This window comes from Homo sapiens, chromosome 6 (assembly GCF_000001405.40).
Source record: "Homo sapiens chromosome 6, GRCh38.p14 Primary Assembly".
NCBI lineage: Eukaryota > Metazoa > Chordata > Mammalia > Primates > Hominidae > Homo > Homo sapiens.
Genome location: NC_000006.12, coordinates 7,336,565 through 7,361,705, shown reverse-complemented (window position 1 = coordinate 7,361,705; position 25,141 = coordinate 7,336,565). Strand labels below are relative to the sequence as shown.

Genomic DNA, 25,141 nt, shown 5'->3' with positions numbered 1-25,141 from the left:
TTCCATTCTAAAGCAAGGGTGGGAAACAATATTTGCACTACAGATCCTTGCTAAAGGATATCACACCAATCTGTTTCCTGACCAGCTCTTAGCAAGAGCTTAAGAGCTCTTGTATCTCTGAAGGATTATCTTTGCAGTTCTTTTGTTCCTCTAGTAGTAATCCTCAGTTTAGAAAAAATACATTTTACATCTTGATGGAATACTTATATGCACACACACACACAGCTAAAACATTGGGTTTTAAAATTCTGTTCTGTTCTATTCCATTTCATTTTTTATGTTGGTTATAAATTCATTTTACCACTTAATAAAGAGTCATAACCTGAATCATGTTCATGATGTGAAAGCTGCTGCTTGGAACATACTTTCTTGGCCCTTGCAGAATTGCTTTTACTGAGTTGTGCTTTGGTGTTAGACTCTCAACAATCCTAGGAAACATCCTTCTAATTTGCTACAGAGACATGGTTGTTTCACTTGGATGAGAACTTCCTTAGAGATCTCAGGCCCACTAGGACAAGTTCCTCTTTTAGAAGCAGGTATATTTTCATCACATGAATAATGACAACCAGATTTGTCATTATTTATGTAACTGACCAGATTTCCATTTCGTTCTAGCTACGAAGAAGTTTATTAGCAAATATGACACTGGAGTGTAGGTCTTAGCTATCTTCATATCTGCCTGTTGTTCCTCACCTGCTCTATATATTCTGGCTTAATGTTTAGTTTCTGATTGATATTGTATTTGTTTGTTTGTTTTTTGAGACAGAGTCGTGCTCTGTCACCCAGGCTGGAGTGCACTGGCGTGATCTCGGCTCACTGCAACCTCCACCTCCCGGGTTCAAGTGATTCTCCTGCCTCAGCCTCCCAAGTAGCTGAGAATACAGGCGTGCACTACCCCACCTGGCTAATTTTTTGGTATTTTTTAGTAGAGACGGGGTTTCACCATGTTAGACAGGCTGGTCTTGAACTCCTGACCTCAGGTGATTCACCCGCCTTGGCCTCCCAAAGTGTTGGGATTACAGCTGTGAGCCATCTCTCCCAGCCAGGTTTATATTGTATTGTATGTACACAACCTCAAAACCTTTGTGTAGAGAATTGGAAACTCAATCAGCCAATCTTCTTCCCATATCTCAATCTGCAAGGCTATTAATAATGATGCCTGATTTATCCACTGTTCATGGTGAATGTTATGTCTACCTTGACATACTTTCCCTCTAAGTTGACACTATCAGAGTGTAAGACAACCCTATATGAGGAAAGTGTGTTAATGCAAGTAAAAGCCTCTTAGGAAACCTTGAATTACGACCTAGATAGAGCTAAATACCCTGGCTTCACCTTATGGCCAGGCCACCTGGCCTGGCACCTCAAATCATAGAGGGCCTCAGTAACCCTCATAACAGGTGTGTGGTAGCAGGATAATGGCACCCCCAAAGATTCCCACACCCTAGTCCCCAGAACATGGCAGAATGGACTTTGCAGATGTGATTAAATCAAGGGCCTTGAGATTCAGGGGTACATTATCCTGGATTGTCAGGGTGGGTCCAATAATCATGAGTTCTTAAAAGTAGAGGACCTTTCCCAGACATGTCAGAGGGAGATTTGACTACTAAAGAATATTCAAAGCTACGACACTTGCTGGCTCTGAAGATGAAGAGAGGGGACCTAAGCCAAAGATGTGGGCAGCCTTTAGAAGCTGGAAAGTCTCCCCTAAGGCCTCCAGAAAGGAGCGCAGCCCTGTTGACACTTTGACTTTAGCCCAGTGAGACCTGTGCCAGACTTCCCACCTACAGAACTATAAGATAATCACTTTGTGTTGTGTGAAGCCACTAAGTTTGTGGTAATTTGTTGCAGCAGCGACAGAAAGTGAATACAAGATGTGTGACCTCAGTTTTTTAGTGATTTGGATTTCAGTGCCTCATAATATATTGAAGCAAGTTAATATATTATTAACTTGGAACTGTGTCCACAAATTTGGGATACAGAGAGGACCAAACCCAGGATATCTTTGGAGGGCTCATGACTGAGCAGTGCCACCTGGACTGAGTGAACCTCATCTTGGCTTCTCTGCCTCTCACTGGCTGTAGTCCACACTGCCCGGGGAGCAGCTCTCCAAAAGGACTTCCTCCTCTGCTATGTCAAATGTCTGTTGCTGTGAACATGACCCAACATGTGTGTTCAGCCTCTGCCTAACTCACCCCTGCCCTTAGAGCCTACATCTTCAAGGCAGTCAGTGAGGCCCATCACAACTTCTGTGGGTCTGTGTCTGTGCTCTGTGCTGCAGTACACATGGGCAGGCCACTCAGGAAAGGAGGTGCTGAAGAGGTGGCAAAGATACTTAACATCTTTAAGATACAAATTAGGCCAGGCAAGGTGGCTCACACCTGTAATCCCAGCACTTTGGGAGGCCGAGGTGGGTGGATCACCTCAGGTCAGGAGTTTGAGACCAGCCTGACCAACATGGTGAAATCCCATCTCTACTAAAAAATACAAAATTAGCCGGGCATGGTGGCACATGCCTGTAATCCCAGCTACTTGGGAGGCCAAGGCAGGAGAATCACTTGAACCTGGGAGGAGGAGGTTGCAGTGAGCCAAGATTGTGCCATTGCACTCCAGCCTGGGCAACAAGAGCGAAACTCCGTTTCAAAAAAAAAAAAGATGCAAATTAAAACCACAGAGAATACCACTCACCCGTTTTAGAATGTCTAAAATTAAAAAGACTGACTATACTAAGGCTTGGAGAGAATGTGGAGCAAATGCAACTCTCATTCGCTGCTGGTTGGGATGTAAAATTGTACAACCATTTTGGAAAACATTTTGGCGATGGCTTTAAAAGTTAAACACACACCTACCATTATTCTACTCCTAGTTTTTTTTGGTTATTGTTTACAGGGTATCACTTGCTGTGTCACCCAGGCTGAAGTGTAGTGGTGCAATCTTGGCTCACTGTGGCCTCCCACCTCAGCCTCCAGAATATCTGGGACTACAGGTGCACATCACCAGCCCTAGCTAATTAAAAAAAATTTTTTTTGTAGAGCTGGAGTCTTGCTATGTTGCCTAAGCCAGCCTCAAACTCCTGAGCTCAAGCAATCCTCCCGCCTCCGTCTCCCAAAGCACTGGGATTACAGGCATGAGACACTGTGCCTGGCCTACTCCTAGATGTTTACCCAAGAGAAATGAAAGCATATGTTCATACAAATATGTATGAGGTCTTTGTAGCTTTATTTATAATAAATAGCCCAAATCAGAAAGCAACCCAAATGTCTGTCTACAGGTGAATGGGTAAATACATTGTATATATTCATTCAATGAAAATACTCCTCAGTCATAAAAAAGGGATGAACTACTGAAACACATGCAACATAGAAGAACCTCAAAATAATTATACCATGTGAAAAGAACTAGACAAAAAAAGAGTAAATACTGTTTGGTTCCATTATATAACATTCTAGAATATACAAAGTAATCTATGATGACAGAAAGTGGATCAGTGTTTGCCTGGGACTGGCAGAGAGTGTGGAGGTCAAGGAAGGCAGATGGGCAGGAGGGAGGGATTGCTGAGTGGCAAGAAGAAACTTTGGTTGTGGAGGTTGACGGGCAGACTCATTATCTTGATGCTGGTGATGGTTTTGGAGGCATATATATATATATATATATATATATATATATATATATATATATCTCAAAACTTACCTAACCGCAGTCTGGCCAACATGGTGAAACCCCGTCTCTACTAAAACTATGAAAACTAGCCAGGTGTGGTGGCATACACCTGTAGTCCCTGCTACTAGGGAGGCTGAGGCAGGAGAATCACTTGAACCCTGGAGGCAGAGGTTGCAGTGAGCAGAGATTGCACCACTGCACTCCAGCCTGGGTGACAAAGCGATACTCCATCTCAAAAACAAAAACAAATATAAAAACAAACAACAACAACAAAAATTTACCAAACCATACACTTTAAATATGTGTTATTAATCGTGTGTCACTTATACCCTTAAAGCAGTTAAAATTTGTACGTTAGCAGAAACTCAAAATGTTGTATTTCTTTTCATGATAATCTAAAAACCCGGCTTCTGCAGAGCAATTCCTTTACCTTTAAAATAAATATTATTCTGTAAGGAAGCTTTTGCTATTCTTTATTTAATCTGAGGTTAGCAAATTAAAAAAAAATCCATCTGCAGACTTAAAAGGGTTGTTATTTTGATCTTGAAAGCTATTAAAGAATTCAAAGTGTGCCATGAAATCTATAATGAAAAAGAGAAATTGAGAAGGAATTCCACATTGCTTCAGTCAAGTGTCATGAAGCAGAGTGGAACCCCCCTCCAGGATGTAGTGAGGAGATGGGATGAAAAGAGCCTAACATTTTCTACTTCAAAAGTCTTTTAAATTCTCTTCACTTTTGTTCCAACTGTTAAATTGAGGTAATAACAACTAGATTAAGTACCTTAAATAATATATGTTGTTAGAGAAGTGGGACCACTGATTTGATATTGTCCTCATTAATTTATTCATATAAGAGAAAGAAAGTTGCTATTTCTGCTGCAAATTTGCTCTGTTATTGATTCCTCTAGGGTTCTTCACTACAGACATGTAAGTATATTTGAAACATTAGGCTGGGCGCGGTGGCTCACACCTGTAATCTCAGCACTTTGGGAGGCCGACGGGGGGCGGATCACCTGAGCTCAGGAGTTCAAGACCAGCCTGGCCAACATGGTGAAACCCCATCTCGACTAAAAATACAAAAATTAGCTGGGCGTGGTGGCGCACACCTGTAATCCCATCTACTCAGGAGGCTGAGGCAGGAGAATTGCTTGAACCTGGGAGGTAGAGGTTGCAGTGAGCTGAGATCGTGCCACTGTGCTCCAACCTTGGCGACAGAGACTCCATCTCAAATAAATAAATAAATAATAAAACATTAGATGATTAAAAGTCATTTAACATTGTTATTTCATGTTTATAGTTTTTCTTCTATAATTGCTTTGAAAATTAAGGTAACTGCTAGGGGAAATTGTGAATACCATTTCCTGATAATTAATTTCAGATGTCACATAATTTTTCATTTTTAATGGCTTTCTTGCAAATAAAAATTGGACCATAGGTCAGAAAATGAAATACATTAAGCTGAACCTTTTTAAAAACTTGCAGTCATTTATGCAAGGGAGAGTATTTCTCAAACCTGAAAATTATGCAAGGGAGAGTATTTCTCAAATCTGAAAAATCAGTGCTTTACTTCATATAGAGTCAAATATGTCTACCCATTGGCTATATATGGAAAGACGATAAGGAAGATTTGGGGCTGATAAATATTTGTATGTACCAATAGGTGTTCTGTTATTTGTAATGCTGTTTTATAGTATAAAGAGGAAAGGTAAAACCCCATTATAATTTTTGTTTATCTGTTCTAAGTGCAGTCCAACCATTATCTGGTTCATAGCCTCTCATGCTTCACCTACGGTACAGCTCGGTTTAGAAGAATATTGGAATAAAGTATTGCTCAGTTTTCTCATTTGTTCTTGGCATCCATATATAGCTTTCCTGGCAGGTTCCAGATTAGTATGTTTACTGATATTTCTCCATAGATCACAAAACTGGGACATCTCCTAGAGTCAAAAGAAAACCACTGCAACAGACTCATTGAAGAAAATGACAAGTATCAAAGACATTTAGGCAACTTAATAAAGAAGGTAGACATTTTTTTTTCTTTTGTATTTTGAGACAAGATCTCACTCTGTCACCCAGGCCGAAGTACAGTGCAGTGCTAACTACAGCCTCAATCCCCTGGGCTCAAGCAAGCCTCCTTGCCTCAGTCTCATGAGTAGCTGGGATTATAGGCATGTGCCACCATTCCTGGCTAATTTTTAAAAATTTTTGTAGAGACATGGTCTCGCTATGTTGCATAGGCTGGTCTCAACCTCCTGGTCTCAAGCAATCCTTCTGCCTCGGCCTCCCAAAATCCTGGGATTGCAGACCTGAGACACTGTTCCCGGCCTGGTACAAACTGCCTTACAGAAATATTTGTGCCTTTTAAAAACTATGCCAAATATTAATAGAATTTTAGAGCTAAAAAGGGTCTGTGGGATGATGTAGCACATTTATATTGATCCCTTTTACTTCATAATGATATTATAAAACACCCCCATTATCCTTTTAGCTGAAAGCTATCAAAGATTGTTGTGTGTGTCTATCCATTCTGCTGTTGGCAATTTAAAATCTTAGTATTGCTACTTCATTTTCAGGATAATTCTAAATCTTGCCAACTTAGTGTTCCAGTTTACCTTATTAAAACTGCCTTAACTTTAATCAAATGAACTCTAATCCCTAGTTGATGCATACAGTACTTATTTGGAAGACAACTAGATTATGGTTGACTCATTACTGTTGTCCATTTTTTGGTACTTCACGTTTTCTGCATGATTAATGGGCGTGTTATCATTCTTTTCTTTCATGTTCCTGATTTCAAAATGTAAGGAAAGTGTTTTGCCTATTATGAAACTTTCATTAATAGTCAGATAATTAAGCTTCAACTTGTAGTCATAAAAAAGAAAAAAATAAAAATTCTAGAATGAAAAATAATTGGTTTAGCTTATTTTTTTCAAGGTTACATCATATGAAGAAATCATTGAATGTGCTGACCAAAGGCTTGCAATATCCCACTCCCAGATTGCACAGTAAGTTGAAAAAACGAATCCTTAATTTTGTGAATATTTACTAATACCTTATTCTCTGGATTCTAAATTCTTTTTTTCAGACTCCTAGAAAGAAGAAAAATGTGCAGTTTTATTAATTAAGTTCATTCTTTATTAATATAGGTATAGACTGCTTAATGTCTGGACTACTTCAACAGTTAAGCAACCAGATTTTCATCTTCCTTTCTCAGAGCTCCCTTTGATTTAAAGGGGTGATGAAGGAATTACTAAGAAACATTCAGCAATTTTAGAGGACATTATCGTAGTATTCAAGTAAAATCTTGTAGTGCTTAGAAATTACTCACAAAAAGATATTGAATGCACACCAAATTAAACATATTCATACATATATCAAGAAGGAAATAAACTCATGAGAATGGGATTCAGCATGAAACACTGCAAAATTTGTGCTCCTAAACTCTGCATAGTTCTTATTTATTCATTATACTTGTTTCTAATATGCTGCTTCTTCCATCCTTCCCCCAATTTCATATATGCTGTGCTGGCTATCACTGGAGCTAACAAAAGGTCTAATTTTATAGAGACAGCGCCCCCAAAATATGAGCTTTCTATAAGCCTGCCTCACCCAAAATAATTAAAAGTGCATGCATTTGTATCTTAGAAAGTTTGCATTTGGTTTTCACAATTGTTTCTAAGCAGAACAAATGTCAAACAGTTTTTCCATTTTTTCAAACTAATGCAGGCAAGTTTTAAATTTGAAGAGGGGAGAGGATGTTGTATACTCAGGAAATGTAAAATTTGATTCCTCTTCAGCTTATAACCAAGGAAATTCAGCCAATGTTCAATGATCATAGGCCAATGAAATATAAAAATTAAAAAACTAATATTTAAAAATAATATCAAACTATCATTTTGCTGATATTGCTTTGCCTCAGTTATTTTTATTTTTATTTTATTTTATTTTTTGTTTTTTTTCCGTAGGTTATTGGGGTACAGGTGATATTTGGTTAGATAAGTTCCTTAGTGGTGATTTGTGAGATTTTGGTGCACCCATCACCCAGTCAGTATACACTGCACCATATTTATAGTCTTTTATCCCTCATCCCCCTTCCACACTTCCCCACAAGTCCCCAGAGTCCATTATATCATTCTTACGCCTTTGTGTCCTCATAGCTTAGCTCCCACATATCAGTGAGAACATACGATGTTTGGTTTTCCATTCCTGAGTTCCTTCACTTAGAATAATAGTCTCCAGTCTCATCCAGGTCACTGCAAATGCCATTAATTCATTCCTTTTTATGGCTGAGTAGTATTCCATCGTGTGTGTGTGTGTGTGTGTGTGTGTGTGTGTGTGTGTGTGTGTGTACATATATATAATAACAGTTTCTTTATCCATTCTTTGATTGATGGGCATTTGGGTTGCTTCCATGATTTTGCAATTTTGAGTTGTGATGCTACAAACATGTGTGTTCAAGTATCTTTTTCATATAATGACTTATGTTCCTCTGGGTAGATACCCAGTATTGGGGTTGCTGGATCAAATGATAGTTCTACTTTTAGCTCTTTAAGGAATCTCCACACTGTTTTCCATAGTGGCTGTTTACATTCTAGTTTACATTCCCACCAGCAGTGTAGAAGTGTTCCCTGATCACTGCATCCATGCCAACATCTACTGTTTTTTGATTTTTTTATTATGGCCATTCTTGCAGGAGTAAGGTGGTATCGCATTGTAGTTTTGATTTGCATTTCTCTGATCATTAGTGATGTTGAGCATTTTGTCATATGTTTGTTGGCCACTTGTATATCTTCTTTTGAGAATTGTCTATTCATGTCCTTAGCCCACTTTTTGATGGGATTATTTTTTTCTTACTGATTTGTTTGAGTTCCTTATAGATTCTGGATATTTGTCCTTTGTCAGATGTATAGAGTGCGAAGATTTTCTCCCACTCTGTGGGTTGTCTGTTGACTCTGCTGACTATTCCTTTTGCCATGCAAAAGCTCTTTAGTTTAAGTCTCAACTATTTATCTATGTTTTTATTGCATTTACTTTTGGGTTCTTGGTCATGAAATCCTTGCCTAAGCCAATATCTAGAAGAGTTTTTTCCAATGTTATCTTCTAGAATTTTTATAGTTTCAGCACTTAGATTTAAGTCCTTAATCCATCTTGAGTTGACTTTGGTAAAAGGCGAGAGATGAAGATCCAGTTTTATTCTCCTAGATGCAGCTAACCAGTTATCCCAGCACCATTTGTTGAAAAGGGTGTCCTTTCCCCACTTTATGTTTTTGTTTGCTTTGTCAAAGATCAGTTGGCTATAAGTATTTGCATTTATTTCTGGGTTCTCTATTCTGTTCCATTGGTCTATGTGCCTATTTTTATACCAGAACCATGCTGTTTTGGTGACTATAGCCTTATAGTATAGTTTGAAATCAGGTAGTGTGATGCCTACAGATTTATTCTTTTTGCTTAGTCTTGCTTTGGCTATGCAGGCTCTCTTTTGATTCCATATGAATTTTAGAATTGTTTTTTCTAATTCTGTGAAGAATGATGGTAGTGTTTTGATGGGGATTGTATTGCATTTGTAGATTGCTTTTGGCAGTATGGTCATTTTCACAATATTGATTCTACCCATCCATGAGCATGGGGTGTGTTTCTATTTGTTTGTGTCATCTATGGTTTCTTTCAGCAGTGTTTTGTAGTTTTCCCTGTAGAGGTCTTTCGACTCTTTGGTTAGGTTTTTTTTTTTTGTTTTTTTTTGTTTTTTTTTTTTTTTGCAGCTATTGTAAAAAGGCTTGAGTTCTTGATTTGATTCTCCACTTGGTCGCTGTTGGTATATAGAAGAGCTACTGATTTGTGTACATTTATCTTGTATCAGGAAACGTTGCTGAATTCGTTTGTCAGTTCTAGGAGCTTTTGGGAGGAGTCATTAGGGTTTTCAAGATAAATGATCATGTCTTCAGCCAACAGTGACAGTTTGACTTCCTCTTTGCCAATTTGGGTGCCCCTTATTTATTTCTCTTGTCTGACTGCTCTGGCTAGGACTTCCAGTACTATGTTGAAGAGAAGTGGTGAGAGTGGGCATCCTTGTCTTGTTCCAGTTCTCAGAGGGAATGCTTTCAACTTTTCCCCATTTCAGTATTATGTTGGCTGTGGGTTTGTCATAGATGGCTTTTATTACATTGAGGTATGTCCCTTGTATGCCAGTTTTGCTGAGAATTGTAATCATAAAGGGATGCTAGATTTTGTCAAATGCTTTTTCTGAATCTATTGAGAAGATCATATGATTTTTGTTTTAAATCCTTTTTATGTAGTGTATCACATTTATTGACTTGCATATGTTAAACCACCCCTGAATCCCTGGTGTGAAACCCAGTTGATCATAGTGGATTATCTTTTTGATATGTTGTTGGACTCAGTTAGCTAGTATTTTGTTAAGGAGTTTAGCGTCTGTGTTCATCAGGGATAGCAGTCTGTAGTTTTTTTTTTTTTTCTATTCCAAAATGCTGTGATCTTATTTTATTTTATTTTATTTTTATTATACTTTAAGTTTTAGGGTAGTTTTCTTTTTTGATTTGTGTTCTTTCCTGGTTTTGGTATTAGGGTGATGCTGGCTTCATAGAATGAATTATGGAGGGTTTTCTCTTTCTCTACCTTGTGGAATAGTGCCAAAAGGATTGCTACCAATTCTTCTTTGAATGTCTGGTAGAATTCTGCTGTGAATCCATCTGGTCCTGGACTTTTTTTGTTGGTAATTGTTTAATTACCATTTCAATCTCGCTACTTGTTATTGGTCTGTTCAGGGTATCTAATTCTTCCTGATTTAAGCTAGGAAGGTTGTATTTTTCCAGGAATTTATCCATCTCTTGTAGGTTTTCTAGTTTATGTGTGTAAAGATGTTCATAGCAGCATTGAATGATCTTCTGTATTTCAGTGGTGTCAGTTGTAATATCTGCTATTTCATTTCTTAATGAGGTTATTTAGATTTTCTCTCCTTTTCTTGGTTAGTCTTCAATTATATTTATCAATGATCTATCAATTTTATTTATCTAATAAATGATCTATCAATTTTATTTATCTTTTCAAAGAACCAGCTTTTTGTTTCATTTATCTTTGTATTGTATTTTTTGTTTCAATTTAATTTAGTTCTGCTCTGATATTGGTTATTTCCTTTCTTCTGCTGGGTTTGAGTTTGGTTTGTTCTTGTTTCTCTACTTCCTTGAGGTGTAACCTTAGACTGTCAGTTGGTGCTCTTTCCGTCTTTTTGATGTAATTGTTTAGGGCTATAAACTTTCCTCTTATTGCCACCTTTGCTGTACTCCAGAGGTTTTGATAGGTTCTGTCATTATTGTAGTTGAGTTCAAAGGATTTTTAAATTTCCTTCTTGATTTCATTTTTGACCCAATGCTCATTCAGGAGCAGGTTATTTAATTTCCATGTATTTGCATGGTTTTGAAGGTTCCTTTTGGAGTTGATTTCCGGTTTTATTCCACTGTGGTCTGAGAGAGTGCTTGATATAATTTCAGTTTTCTTAAATTTATTGAGGCTCGTTTTATGGCCTATGATATGGTCTATTTTGGAGAAAATTCCATGTGTTGTTGAATAGAATGTGTATTCTGCAGTTCTTGGATGAAATGTTCTGTATATATCTGTTAAGTCCATTTGTTCCAAGGTATCGTTTAACTCCATTGTTTCTTTGTTGACTTTCTGTCCTGATGACCTGTCTAGTGCTGTCAGTGGAGTATTGAAGCCAGCCCCCAGTATTATTGTGTTACCATCTATCTCATTTCTTAGGTCTATTAGTAATTGTTTTATAAATTTGGGAGCTCCAGTGTTAGGTGCATATATGTTTAGGATTGTGATATTTTCCTGTTGGACGAGGCTTTTTACCATATAATGTCTCTCTTTGTCTCTTTTAACTGCTGTTGCTTTAAAGTTTGTTTTGTCTGATATAAGAATAGCTACCCCTGCTCGCTTTTGGTGTCCATTTGCATGAAATGCCTTTTTCCACCCCTTTACTTTAAGTTTATGTGAGTCCTTATGTGTTAGGTAAGTCTCCTGAAGGCAGCAGATAGTTGGTTGATGAGTTCTTTTTTTTTCTTCTTTCTTTCTTTCTTTCTTTTTTTTTTTTTTTGAGACAAGTGTTTCACTCTTGTCGCCCAGGCTGGAGTGCAACAGTGAGATCTTGGCTCACGGCAACCTTGGCCCCTGGGCTCAAGCGATTCTCCTGCCTCAGCCTCCTGAGTAGCTGGGATTACAGGTGTGCACCACCACACCTGGCTAATTTTGTATTTGTAGTAAAGATGGGGTTTCACCATGTTGGCCAGGCTGGTCTCAAACTCCTGACCTTAGGTGGTCCACCCGCCTTGGCCTCCAAAAGTGCTGGGATTACAGGCATGAGCCACTGCACCTGGCCAGTGAGTTCTTATCCATTCTGCAGTTCTGTATCTTTTAAGTGGGGCATTTAGGCCATTTATATTCAATGTTAGTATTAAGATGTGAGGTACCATTGCTTTCATCATGCTATTTGTTGCCTGTGTACCTTGGTTTTTTTTTGTTTTTTAAATTGTATTTTTGTTTTATAGGTCCTGTGTGATTTATGCTTTAGAGGAGTTCTGTTTTGATGTGTTTCCAGGATTTGTTTCAAGATTTAGAGCTCCTTTTAGCAGTTCTTGTAGTGGTGGCTTGGTAGTGGGGAATTCTCTCAGCATTTGTTTGTCTGAAACAGACTGTATCTTTCCTTCATATATAATGCTTAGTTTGGCTACATACAAAATTCCTAGCTGATAATTGTTTTGGTTGAGGAGGCTGAAGATAGGGCCCCAAACCCTTCTAGCTTGTAGGGTTTCTGCTGAGAAATCTGCTATTAATCTGATAAGTTTCCTTTATAGGTTACCTGGTGCTTCTGTCTCACAGCTCTTAAGATTCTTTCTTTCATCTTAACTTTAGATAACCTGATGACAATGTACCTAGGCGATGATCTTTTTGCGATGAATTTCCCAGGTGTTTTTTGTGCTTCTTGTATTTGGATGTTGCGGTCTCTTGCAAGGCCAGGGAAGTTTTCCTCGATTATTCCCCAAATATGTTTTCCATACTTTTAGATTTCTCTTCTTCCTCAGGAACACCGATTATTCTCAGGTTTGGTCGTTTAACATATCCCAGACTTCTTGGAGGCTTTGTTCATATTTTCTTTTTCTTTTTTCTTTGTCTTTGTTGGATTGGGTTAATTCAAAGACCTTGTCTTCTAGCTCTGAATTTCTTTCTTCTACTTGTTCAATTCTATTGCTGAGACTTTCCAGAGCATTTTGCATTTCTATAAGTGTGTCCAATGTTTCCTGAAGTTTTTTTTTCTTTATGCTATCTATTTCCTTGAATATTTCTCCCTTCACTTCTTTTATCATTTTTTGGATTTCCTTGAATTGGACTTCACCTTTCTCTGGTGCCTCCCTGATTAGCTTAATAACTAACCTCCTGAATTCTTTTTCAGGTAAATCAGGGATTTCCTCTTGGTTTGGATCCATAGCTGGTGAGCTAGTGTGATTTTGGGGGATGTTAAAGAGCCTTGTTTTGTCATATTACCAGAGTTGGTTTTCTGGTTCCTTTTCATTTGGGTAGGCTTTGTCAGAGGGAAGGTCCAAGGCTGTTGTTTAGATTCTTTTGTCCCATGGGGTGTTCCCTTGATGGGGTGCTCTTCCTCTTTTCCTGGGGATGTGGCTTCCTATGGGCCGAGCTGCAGTGATTGTTACCTTTCTTTGGGGTCTAGCCACCCAGCAAGTCTACCTGGCACCAGGCTGGTACTGGGGGTTGTCTGCACAGAGTCCTGTGATGTGAACTGTCTATGGATATCAGCTGTGGCTATCAGCACCTGTTCCCGTGGACGTGGCAGGGGGGTGAAATGGACTCTGTGAGCGTTCTTAACTTGGGTGGTTTAATGTTTTATTTTTGTACTGGTTGGCCTCCTGTGAGGAGGTGGCACTTTCCAGAGAGCATCAGCTGTGTAGTATGGAGAGAAAAGGAACCGGTGGTGAGCAGGGCCCTAGAACTCCCAAGAATATATGCCCTTTGTCTTCAGCTACCAGGGGTGGATAGGGAAGGCCCATCAGGTAGGGGCAGGGCTTGGTGTGTCTGAGCTCAGACTCTCCTTGGGCAGGTCTTGCTGCAGCTGCTGTGGGGGATGGGGTTGAGATTCCTAGGTCACTGGAGTTGTGTACCTAGGAGGATTATGGCTGCCTCTGCTGAGTCATGCAGGTTGTTCGGGAAGTGGGGGAAAGCCTGCAGTCACAGGCCTCACCCAACTCCCACACAATCCAAAGGGCCTGTCTCACTCTCACCATGCCCCCTTTTACAGTCTGTTTCCAGGCAGTGGGTGAGCAGGGCTTGAGAACTTGCCCCAGGCTACCTGCCTCCCAGCTGTGAAAGAACAGGGCTTTGGTTATTTTCCCTCCTGTGGAGTCTGCAAACCAGATAGATTTCCCACCCTCCCCCACGTTCTGGCCAGGAGGCTTCTTGCTCAATTCAAATTGTTACAAAGTTCCCCCACCGCCCCCCCCAACCCCCCCCCCCACCCTCGCTTTGGATCCCTGTGGGGCCAGGCAGGAAGGGCCTGCTTGGGGACCCAGCGAGCTCCCAGGGCCTTTCCCGCTGCTTCCTCTACCCCTGTATTTCGCTTGGCTCTCTAAATTGACTCAGCTCCAGGTAAGGTCGGAAACTTCTCGCAAACTAGACCTTCATTTTCTTCAGTTGGGGTTTGTGTTTGGGAGCAGAGGGTCTCCCTTTCCCACTTCTGCAGTTTGGGCCCTCACAGTATTTGGGGTGTCTCCCAGCTCCTGCAGGAGCAGTCCGCTTCCTTCAGAGGGCCTGTGGGTCCTGTCAGGATTCCTGATTTGTTCTTGCAGTCATTCTGGAGCTAAAATTCATGACGCGAGCCTCCACACACTGCTCTGTCCATCCTAGTCAGAACTGCAATCTAGTCCTGCCTCCCGTCCACCATGAGGATTGCCCCAGTTATTTTTAAATTAAAAAATGTAAATATTCTGCAGGGCTTGGGTGAAAAAAAATTTTTTCCTAATGTATATTTCAGTTGAGTGGTTGATCCAATTTGTGTTGAAGAAGAGACCATAGGTCAGAATCTGAATTTAGGCTTTATCATAAGCATTGTCAACTGTGGCTGCTTATTAGAATCTTCTTTCTTTCTTCTTTTTTTTTTTTTGAGATAGAGTCTTGCTCTGTTGCCCAGGCTGGAGTGCAGTGGCACAATCTCAGCTGGAGTCAGTAGCACAGTGTCTGCCTCCCAGGCTCAAGCAATTCTTCTGCCTCAGCCTCCTGAGCAGCTGGGACCACAGGTGTGCACTACCACACCTGGCTATTTTTTTTTCTTTTTTCAGTAGAGACAGGGTTTTGCCGTGTTGGCCAGGCTGGTCTCTAACTTTTGGCCTCAAGTGATCCATTCACCTCAGCCTCCCAAAGTGCTGGGATTACAGGTGTGAACCACCGTGCCCAGCTAACTTTTTTGTTTTTTGAGACAGGGTCTGGCTCTGTCGCCCAGGCCGGAGTGCAGTGGCGCAGTCTTGGCTCACTGCAATCTCCATCTCCTGAGCTCAAATGATCCTCCCACCTCAGCCTCCCAAGTAGCTGGGACTACAGGCATGCACCACCATGCGTGACTTTTATTTATTTTAGAAACAGGGTCTTGCTGTGTTGCCCAGGCTGGTCTTGAACTCCTGGACTCAATCAGTCCTACCACCTTGGCATCCCAAAGTGCTGGGATTACAGGCGTGAGTCACTGCACCCGCCCTGATTTACTTTTTAAAAAATCAAATCTAGTCTGTTATATCCATGAAGAACAGTATTTTTAATTATAGTGAATTAGCTTTACTCTCATTAAAAGGTATACACTGCTTCAAAAATTATCAGGCTGTTTTGCCTACGGAGTAGCCATTCTTTTATTCCTTTATTTCTTGATAAACTTGCTCTCACTTTATAGGTTCACCTAAAATTTAAAAAAAATTATCAAATACACACATCATCAGAACAATATTCTTTTAAATTGGTGCTAGTCTATTGATTCTGCTAAAATTTAATAGAGTTTGAGGTATTGTTCTTCAAATGCATTCATAGGCTATACTGTAATTTTTCTTTTTTTGAGATGGACTCTCGTTCTGTCACCCAGGCTGGAGTGCAGTGGTACAGTATCGGCTCACTGCAAGCTTCTCCTCCCGGGTTCACACCATTCTCCTGCCTCAGCCTCCCAAGTAGCTGGGACTATGGGGGCCTGCCACGACGCCCAGCTAATTTTTTTTGTATTTTTAGTAGAGACGGGGTTTTAGTCAGCCAGGATGGTCTCAATTTCCTGACCTCATGATCTGCCCGCCTCAGCCTCCCAAAGTGCTGGGATTACAAGCATGAGCCACTGCGCCGGGCCTGTAATTTTTCCGTTCACAGGCCTTAGACGTTAGAAACAGCTGTTTACTATGAAAGCTATTAGTGACATTGTTTTTCTAAAAGGCTGAAAGAAAACTACTTGGTGATAGCTTACTCTGTATATGCAGCCAGAGTGATCTTGCTGAAATATAATGTGAGTATGCCATTTTGTGTCTGGACTTGGGCTACTTGGTCTCACTTCAAGAATGAAACCACAGACCCCTGCAGTGAGGGTTACAGCTCTTAAGATGGCACATCTGGCGTTTGTTCCTTCTGATGTTCTGATGTGTTCAGAGTTTCTTTCATCCTGCTGGGTTTAGTGGTCTCGCTGGTTCAGAAATAAAACTGCAAACCTTTAACAGTCAGTGCTGCAACTCTTAAGGTAGCGTGTCTGGAGTTGTTCCTTCTTCTTGGTAGGCTGGTAGCTTATACTAACTTCAAAGAGTGAAACTACAAACCTTCACAAGGAGTGTCATAGCTCCTAAAAGCAATATGGACCTAGCTCCTAAAAGCAATATGGATCTAAAGAGCAAACAGCAACAAGAGTTAAGATTTACTGCAGGGTGAAAGAACAAAGCTTTCAACACCAGCCATCTGCCGCTGCTGGCTTGGGCACCCTGGTTTTATTCTCTTATCTGGCCCCACCCACATCCTGCTGATTGGTAGAGCCGAGTGGCCTGTTTTGACAGGGCGCTGATTGGTGCGTTTACAATCCCTGAGCTAGGCGCAAAGGTTCTGCACGTCCCCACCAGATTAGCTAGATACAGAGTGTCGACACAAAGGTTCTCCAAGGCCCCACCAGAATAGCTAGATACAGAGTGTTGATTGGTGCATTCACAAACCCTGAGCTACACACAGGGTGCTGATTGGTGTGTTTACAAACCTTGAGCTAGATACAGAGTGCTGATTGGTGTATTTACAATCCCTGAGCTAGACATAAAGGTTCTCCACCTTCCCACCAGACTCAGAAGCTCAGCTGGCTTCACCCAGTGGATCCGGCACCGGGGCTGCAGGTGGAGCTGCTTTCCAGTCTCGGGCCGTACGCCCGCACTCCTCAGCCCTTGGGTGGTGGATGGGACTGGGCGCTGTAGAGCAGGGGGCGGCGCTCATCCAGGAGGCTGGGCCGCACAGGAGCTCATGGAGGGGTTGCGAGGCTCAGGCATGGCGGGCTGTAGGTCCCGAATCCTGCCCTGCGGGAAGGCAGCTAAGGCACGGTGAGAAATCGAGCACAGCGCCGGTGGGCTGGCACTGCTGGGGGACCCAGTACACCCTCTGCAGCCGCTGGCCCGGGTGCTAAACCCCTCATTGCCCGGGCTGGCAGGGCCGGCTGGCTGCTCCGAGTGCGGGACCCGCCAAGCCCACGCCTACCCGGAACTCCAGCTGGCCCGCAAGCGCCACGCCCAGCCCCGGTTCCCGCTGGCGCCTCTCCCTCTACACCTCCCTGCAAGCTGAGGGAGCCAGCTCTGGCCGTGGCCAGCCCAGAAAGGGGCTCTCACAGTGCAGCGGTGGGCTGAAGGGCTCCTCAAGTGCCACCAAAGTGGGAGCCCAGGCAGAGGAGGTGCCGAGAGCGAGCGAGGGCTGTGAGGATTGCCAGCACGCTGTCACCTCTCACCACTTTCTAACACTTAAGTCCAGATCTGTCTGTTTCAGATGTAGAAGTTCCTGCTCCAAACAACATTACGTGCTGTCTGTGTTTTTGATGAATCTATCCCATTTCTTCCTTTGTAGGAAGGAGCACCTGCCTACAAAATGAGACTTGTTCTATCTTTGTCCCCATCACAATCATTACATCATCCTGGTGAGAGGTCGATCCTCTTATAAAAATGTTCCAGTTCATTTCCTGTCCTGGCTTCCCATTTTCTCAAGCCCTGCTACCTTGTTATTCAAGGTGACCTTCTATTCCATTCCTACCCATTATATGATCCCTGATCATAATCTGTAGTTTTTGAAGTCACTCATCAAAATCTGCATTAACTTATTTACTATTCACCATCCACAGAATGCCAACAGAGTCCTGGAAGAATACTTCCATGCCATATCTCCTACAGACAACACTGAATTCATAAATGACAACTCACTGCCCTGTCACAGCAACTGTTATTTCTACCCACATGAAGCCCCTGTAAATGTTTTTCCATGCAAAACCATATCAAAAATAACAGAAAATTTCAGTGTAAATCCACAACCTTTCTTTCTAAGTTTCATGATACTTTGAGTACAGAATGATCAAAAAGTTTGATTGGATTGAACATTCTTTTAAAAATCCATGTGATTTTATACCTTGATCATAGAGAATAAGGTGAACATTTGTTTACCCCTAAAACTTGTAAACCCCACAGAAAGCTGCATTTCAGTATATAGTAAAAACAACATTAGTACTGCCCTTATTTATAGTCACAATCCCATTGTATTTCTTTGACTTCTTTTTCTTTTCTTTTCTTTTCTTTTTTTTTTTTGTGGGACAGAGTCTCGCACTGTCGCCTGGGCTGGAGTGCAGTGGTGCCATCTCAGCCCACTGCAACCTCCACCTCCCGGGTTCAAGCGATTCTCCTGCCTCAGCCTCCCAAGTAGCTGGGATTACAGGCACCCACCACCACACCTGGCTAATTTTTTTGTATTTTTAGTAGAGACAGGGTTTCACTATGTTGGCCAGGCTTCTTTTTTAATGAAAAAAGGGTTGGCATAAATACAGCCAACTGATCTTCAACAAAGCAAACAAAAACATAAAGTGGGGAAAGCACACCCTATTCAACAAATGGTGCTGGGATAATTGGCAAGCCACATGTAGAAGAATGAAACTGGATCCTCATCTCTCAACTTATATACAAAAATCAACTCAAGATGGATCAAGGACTTAAATCTAAGACCTGAAACCATAAAAATCCTAGAAGATAACATCAGAAAAACCCTTCTCGACATTGGCTTAAGCAAAGACTTCATGACCAAGAACCCAAAAGCAAATGCAACAAAAACAATGATTAACACATTCATTGAGGAGAAGGGTGGCAGAGCAGTTCCCTGAGCACTGACAGTCAAGGACAGTTTGTTCAGTGAGGCTTTAGACTGGAGAGAAGATAAGTGAAAACAGAGACAGAGGTGACAGCCAGCCTGCAGGAGCCACTACAGATACCCGGAGTATGAGTCATCAGTCAGACACCCTTCCTGTGCCATCTGGCCAGATGAGAGGCCAGGTCCTCAGAGACCAGAGCATCTATACCCAGCTGTTGAGATGATGCTGCACTTGCGGTAGACCATGAGGGAGTACTTCATGCAGCTGATGAGCAGGCAGGGCCCTGCCGCTGGAAGAATGGAGGCACACTCAGGCCATCCGTGAGCATGAAGCCCTTCTGGGTCGCTTAATGTGCCAGATGATCCAGCTCCTATAGTCTGGGGCCATAAGTGGCCTGGAGCTCCAAGTGCCTCTTCCTTCCCAGGACTCTAGGGGTGATGTCAGATATGGGCAGGGGGCCCAACTGTCCAGGCAGCCTGATCCAGTTCCCCAACTGAGTGATTGTGAAGCTGCCTTCATCAGCCGTGACCTATCCAACTGTGGGATTGACATCTCTGTCTTCTATTAGTCGAGCTTCCAGGACTACAATGCCTACCAAAAAGACAAATATCATAAGGACAAGAACACCTTGAGCTTCGTTAACCTTGGCACCAGTGAGAACAAGCTCTGCATAGATCTGATGACTGAAAGATTGCAAGAAAGTGACACGAACGGCATTGAGGACATCTTGCTGCAGTACCCTGATTGGAGAGGGCACCCGTTCCTGCAAGAAGAAGTGGCCCAGTTCCTGACCTACTAGTGCAAGGCACCTGCCCGACTTGATCCAGAAAATGTGGTTGTTCTAAATGGCTGCTGCTCTGTCTTCTCTGCACTGGCCATGGTTCTGTGTGATCCAAGCGAGGCCTTCCTGGCGCCTGCTCCCTTCTATAGTGGCTTTGACTTTAGCTCCTGCCTGTACGTGAAGGTTGAGTTGATTCCTGTCCACCTGGAGAGTGAGATCACTGTTGCAAACACCCATCTGTTCCACCTTGCTGTGGACAAGTTAGAGGAAGCCCTGCTTAAAGCTAGGCCTGAGAGGAAAAAGGTCCGAGGCCTTGTGCTAATCAACCCTCAGAATCTTCTGGGTGACATCTACTCCTCAGACTCGCGATGGAATACCTGGAATTTGCCAAGAGGTATAACCTACATGTGATCATAGATGAGATTTACATGCTATCTGTGTTTTTGATGAATCCATCACATTCCACAGTGTCCTAAGCATGAAAAGTCTGCCTGATCACAACAGGACCCATGTGATCTGGGACACCAGTAAGGATTTTGGCATCTCTGGCTTCCTCTTTGGTACTCTGTTTACACCCACCACAAGGAGATGGCTTCTGCTGTGAGCACCTTTGGCTACCTCCACAGTATCTCTGGCATCACCTAGCACAAGCTGTGTCAACTGCTCCAGAACACAGAATGGATTGACAAAGTGTACCTGCCCACCAATAACTACCGGCTGTGGGAAGCTCACAAGTACATCACTGCCAAGCTAAAGGCATTGGAGATCCCCTTTCACAGCTGCAGCTCTGGCCTCTATATCTGGATCAACTTGAAAAAGTACCTGGATCCCTGTACATTTGAAGAGCAACAGCTCCTCTCTCCGCTTCCTGGACAACAAGCTGTTGTTATCCTGTGGCAAAGCCTGTATGTATAAGGAGCCAGGCCGGTTCCACCTCATCTTTGCAGACGAGCTCCCCCCGGCTAAAATTGGCCATACATCAGTTCTGTGGTGTGCTGCAGGAACAGAAGCAGGCTTTGCTAGTGAAGCAGTTGGAAGATGCATTGAGGGAGTAGACTGTCTGCCTCCCAACGAGTAGCTCTAGCCCATCACTTGCTCAGGGACCCCCTAATGTCAGCCCCTGGTCCAGAAGCCTGGGGTGTATTTTTGTCAGTGCTGCAACTAAGAAAATTGTGGGCTCCTCCAGGAAGATCTCATCTGACCCAGTCATCACCCTCCTTAAGCTGAGTGCCTGCTGTCTTTGGAAGCTTTGCATCTTTTTAGTGTTTGCTAGATATTATATATGCAAAATGTTTTTATTGGGGTTGGGGTGGGAAGGCCTGGAGGCACCTACAGAAATAAAGGAAGCTCCCTGGGCCCCTATTTAGATGGTTTATTTTTATATTCAATATCTAATAAATTCTATGTTCTCTTAAAAAACTGATAAATAGGTGGAACTTAATTAAAAGTTTCTGCGCAGCAAAAGCAATAATCAGCAAAGTAAACAGACAACCCACAGAGTGGGAGAAAATCTTCACACTCCGTACATCTGACAAAGGGCTAATATACAGAATCTACAAGGAACTCAAACAAATTAACAAGAAAAAAACAATCCCATCAAAAAGTGGGCTAAGGACATGAATACACAATTCTTAAAAGAAGATATGGAAATGGCCAACAAACGTATGAAAAAATGCTCAGCATCACTAATGATCAGGGAAATGCAAATCAAAGCCACAATGTGATACTACCTTACTCCTGCAAGAATGACCATAATCAAAAAATCAAAAAATAACAGATGTTGTCAAGGATGCGGTAAAAAGGGAACACTTCTACACTGCTGGTGGAAAAGTAAACTAGTATAACCACTGTGGAAAACAGTGTGGAAAGTCTTTAAAGAACTAAAAGTAGAACTACCATTTGATCCAGAAATCCCACTACTGGGTATCTACCCAGAGGACAAGAAGTCATTATTCAAAAAAGATACTTGCACATGCATGTTTATAGCAGCACAATTTGAAATTACCAAAATATGGAACCAGCCCAAATGCCCATCAATCAATGAATGGATAAAGAAATTGTGGTATATATATACACCACGGAATGCTATTCAGCCATAAAAAGGAATGAAATAATGGCATTCACAGCAACTTAGATGGAATTGGAGACCATTATTCTAAGTGAAGTAGCTCAGGAATGGAAAACCAAACATCATATGTTCTCACTCATAAGTGGGAGCTAAGCTATGAGGACACAAAGGCATAAGAATGATACAGTGCCTTTCCTTTCAGCGGAGCATGGCGGCAAGATCGCCTTACAAATTTCCAAGAAGAGGAAGTTTGTCACTGATGGCATCTTCTAAGCTGAAATGAATGAGTTTCTTACTCAGGAGCTGGCTGAAGATGGCTACTCTGGAGTTGAGATGCGAGTTACACCAACCAGGACAGAAATCATTGTCTTAGCCACCAGAACACAGAATGTTCTTGGTGAGAAGGGCCGGCGGATTCGGGAACTGACTGCTGTAGTTCAGAAGAGGTTTGGCTCTCCAGAGGGCAGTGTAGAGCTTTATGCTGAAGAGGTGGCCACTAGGGGTCTGTGTGCCATTGCCCAGGCAGAGTCTCTGCCTTACAAACTCCTAGGAGGGCTTGCTGTGCGGAGGGCCTGCTATGGTGTGTCGCGGTTCATCATGGAAACTGGGGCCAAAGGCTGTGAGGTCGTGGTGTCTGGGAAACTCTGAGGACAGAGAGCTAAATCCATGAAGTTTGTGGACGGCCTGATGATCCACAGCAGAGACCCTGTTAACTACTACGTTGACACTGCTGTGCGCCATGTGTTGCTCAGACAGAGTGTGCTGGGCATCAAGGTGAAGATCATGCTGCCCTGGGACCCAACTGGTAAGATTGGCCCTAAGAAGCCCCTGCCTGACCACGTGAGCATCGTGGAACCCAAAGATGAGATAACTGCCCACCACCCCCATCTCAGAACAGAAGGGTGGGAAGCCAGAGCCTCCTGCCGTGCCCTCAGTCACCACAGCATAACAGGATCTCCTTGGCAGCTGTATTCTGGAGTCTGGATGTTGCTCTGTAAAGACCTTTATAAAATATTGTACAAAGACAGAAAAAAAAAAGAATGATACAGTGGACTTTGGGGACTTGGGGGAAAGAGTGGAAGGGGGTGAGGGATAAAAGATTACAAATTGGGTACAGTGTATACTGCTAAAAATGGCAGGTAAAAGTAAATGGCAAATCCATGTTCTAATCCCTAGAATCTGTGAATGTTACCTTATATAGCAAAAAAGGGCCAGCTTTATGTGTAATAACAATTGTATCCATCAATGTTAGTTAGCATATTTAAAAAACTAAAAAAGAGAAAGCATATGATAATTTCGATAGACAGAAAAACCGTTTGACAAAATCCAACATCATTCTTCATGAGAAAACCTAAACAACCTAGGAAAAGAAAGGAACTGTCTCAATAAGGACAAAGAGCACCTACAAAAAGCCTACTAACATTATACTTAATGATGATAGACTAAATGCTTTCTCATCATCAGGAACAAGACATTCCAGTACATTCACATTGTACTGGAAGTTCTGTCCAGTACAATCAGGCAAGAAAAATAACACTCATCCAAATTGGACATGAAGCAAAAATGCATGTGTTCACAGACACGTGATCATCTATGTAGAGAATCTGATGGAATCTACAAAAAAAGTTGCAGGATCCAGTACAAATATGTAAAAGTAGTATTTTTATATACTAGCAACAGATAATCAGAAATTAAGAAACATTTCTGATAGCACCAAAAATATAAACTACATAAGGATAAATTTGGCGAAAGTATGTAAAAGACTCATATACTAAAAATTACAAAACATCATTGAGAAAAAGTAAAGAAGAGTTAAATAAATGGAGAGGTATATCTCTTTCATGGGTCAATTTTGTTAAGATTTTCCCCAAGTTCATTTATTGATTCAGTGCAATTCCAATTTTAAATAAACTTAACAAGCTGATTCTAAACTCATATGGAAATTCAAAAGGCATAGAATAGCTGAAAGAACTCTGATAAAGAAGGATAAAATGGGAGGGAAACTCTGATTCTAAGACTTTTTATAGAGCTACAATAATCAAAACAGTGTAGCATTGGTGTAAAAATATAAAAATCAATGGAACAGACCAGGGAATGCAGACCTGGACCCATGCATATATGGACAAGTGATTTTTGACAAAGGTACAAAGGCAACAAAGTGGAAAAAGGATAGCCTTCTCAACAAATGGTGCTGAAATCATTGCCCATTTTCAAAAAAATTAACTTTGATTTATACACTCCACCACATACGAAGTAAACTCAAAATGGATAATATACCCAAAGATAAAGGCTAAAACCATAAAATATCTAGAAGAACACATATGAGAAAATTTCTATGACTTTGGGTTAGGCAACAATTTCTTAGACATGTCACTAAAAGCATGATTCATTAGAGAAAATTTTAATAAATTCGACTTCATCAAAATTTAAAACTGCTCTTCTTTTTTTTTTTTTTTTTTTTTCGAGACAGTCTCACTCTGTCACCCAGGCTGGAGGGCAGTGGTGCAATCTTGGCTCACTGCAACCTCCGCCTCCCAGGTTCAAGTGATTCTCCTGCCTCAGCCTCTCAAGTAGCTGGGACTACAGGTGCACGCCACCACACTGGGCTAATTTTTTTGGTTGTATTTTTAGTAGAGACGGGGTTTCACCATGTTGGCCAGGCTGGTCTTGAACTCCTGACCTCATGATCCACCCACCTCGGCCTCCCAAAGTGCTGGGATTACAGGTGTGAGCCACCTTGCCCAGCCTAAAACTGCTCTCTGAAGACACTGTTAACAGATCAAAAGACAAGCCATAGTCTGGAAGAACATATTTGTAAATCGTGTATCCAATAAAGAACTTCTATCCAGATGTAATGAACTCTCAAAATTCAGTCATAAGAAAACAAATAACCCAATAAAAATGGGCGAAGATTTTAGTAGAGATTCTACCAAGAAAGTATATGGATGGCAAATAAGCACATGAAATATATTCATGTCAGCTGCGTGCGGTGGCTGATGCCTGTAATCCCAGCACTTTGGGAGGCAAAGGTGACAGGATCACTTGAGTCCAGGAGTTTGAGACCAGACTGGTTAATACAGCAAAATCCCATGTCTACTAAAAATACAAAAATTAGCCAAGCATGGTGGCGCACACCTGTAATCCCAGCTATTCGGGAAGCTGAGGCATGAGAATCACTTGAACCAGGGAGGCGGAGGTTGCAGTGAGCTGAGATTGTGCCACT

At 41.7% G+C, this 25,141-nt stretch overlaps 1 protein-coding gene and 2 pseudogenes across 3 annotated transcripts in view, besides 2 other annotated features; all 3 read left to right on the top strand.

The window, feature by feature from the left end:
- Positions 1-25,141, top strand: part of CAGE1 (cancer antigen 1) — a 63,084-nt gene that overhangs the window by 28,037 nt on the left and 9,906 nt on the right. For 2 of the 3 annotated variants that reach the window (NM_205864.3, NM_001170693.2), the window contains one exon: positions 6,595-6,665. In NM_205864.3, coding sequence (NP_995586.1) covers positions 6,595-6,665 — 71 coding nt within the window. Of the gene's footprint in view, positions 1-5,576; positions 5,682-6,594; positions 6,666-25,141 lie in introns of all 3 variants that reach the window. The other variant, NM_001170692.2, reaches the window with a different exon arrangement.
- Positions 14,053-14,957: an enhancer, noted in NCBI's record as "NANOG-H3K27ac hESC enhancer chr6:7346982-7347886 (GRCh37/hg19 assembly coordinates)". NCBI's record gives its function as "activates a minimal SCP1, AML or CMV promoter by ChIP-STARR-seq in naive H9 embryonic stem cells {active_cell/tissue: H9 hESC(naive)}" and the evidence as "EXISTENCE:reporter gene assay evidence [ECO:0000049][PMID:30033119]".
- Positions 19,133-19,295: a silencer, noted in NCBI's record as "fragment chr6:7342644-7342806 (GRCh37/hg19 assembly coordinates)". NCBI's record gives its function as "represses an EF-1alpha promoter that drives an FKBP-Casp9 reporter gene in an ReSE screen in K562 erythroleukemia cells {active_cell/tissue: K562}" and the evidence as "EXISTENCE:reporter gene assay evidence [ECO:0000049][PMID:32094911]".
- Positions 19,151-20,962, top strand: ACCSLP1 (ACCSL pseudogene 1; annotated as a pseudogene).
- RPS3P4 (ribosomal protein S3 pseudogene 4) lies at positions 22,108-22,875 on the top strand (annotated as a pseudogene).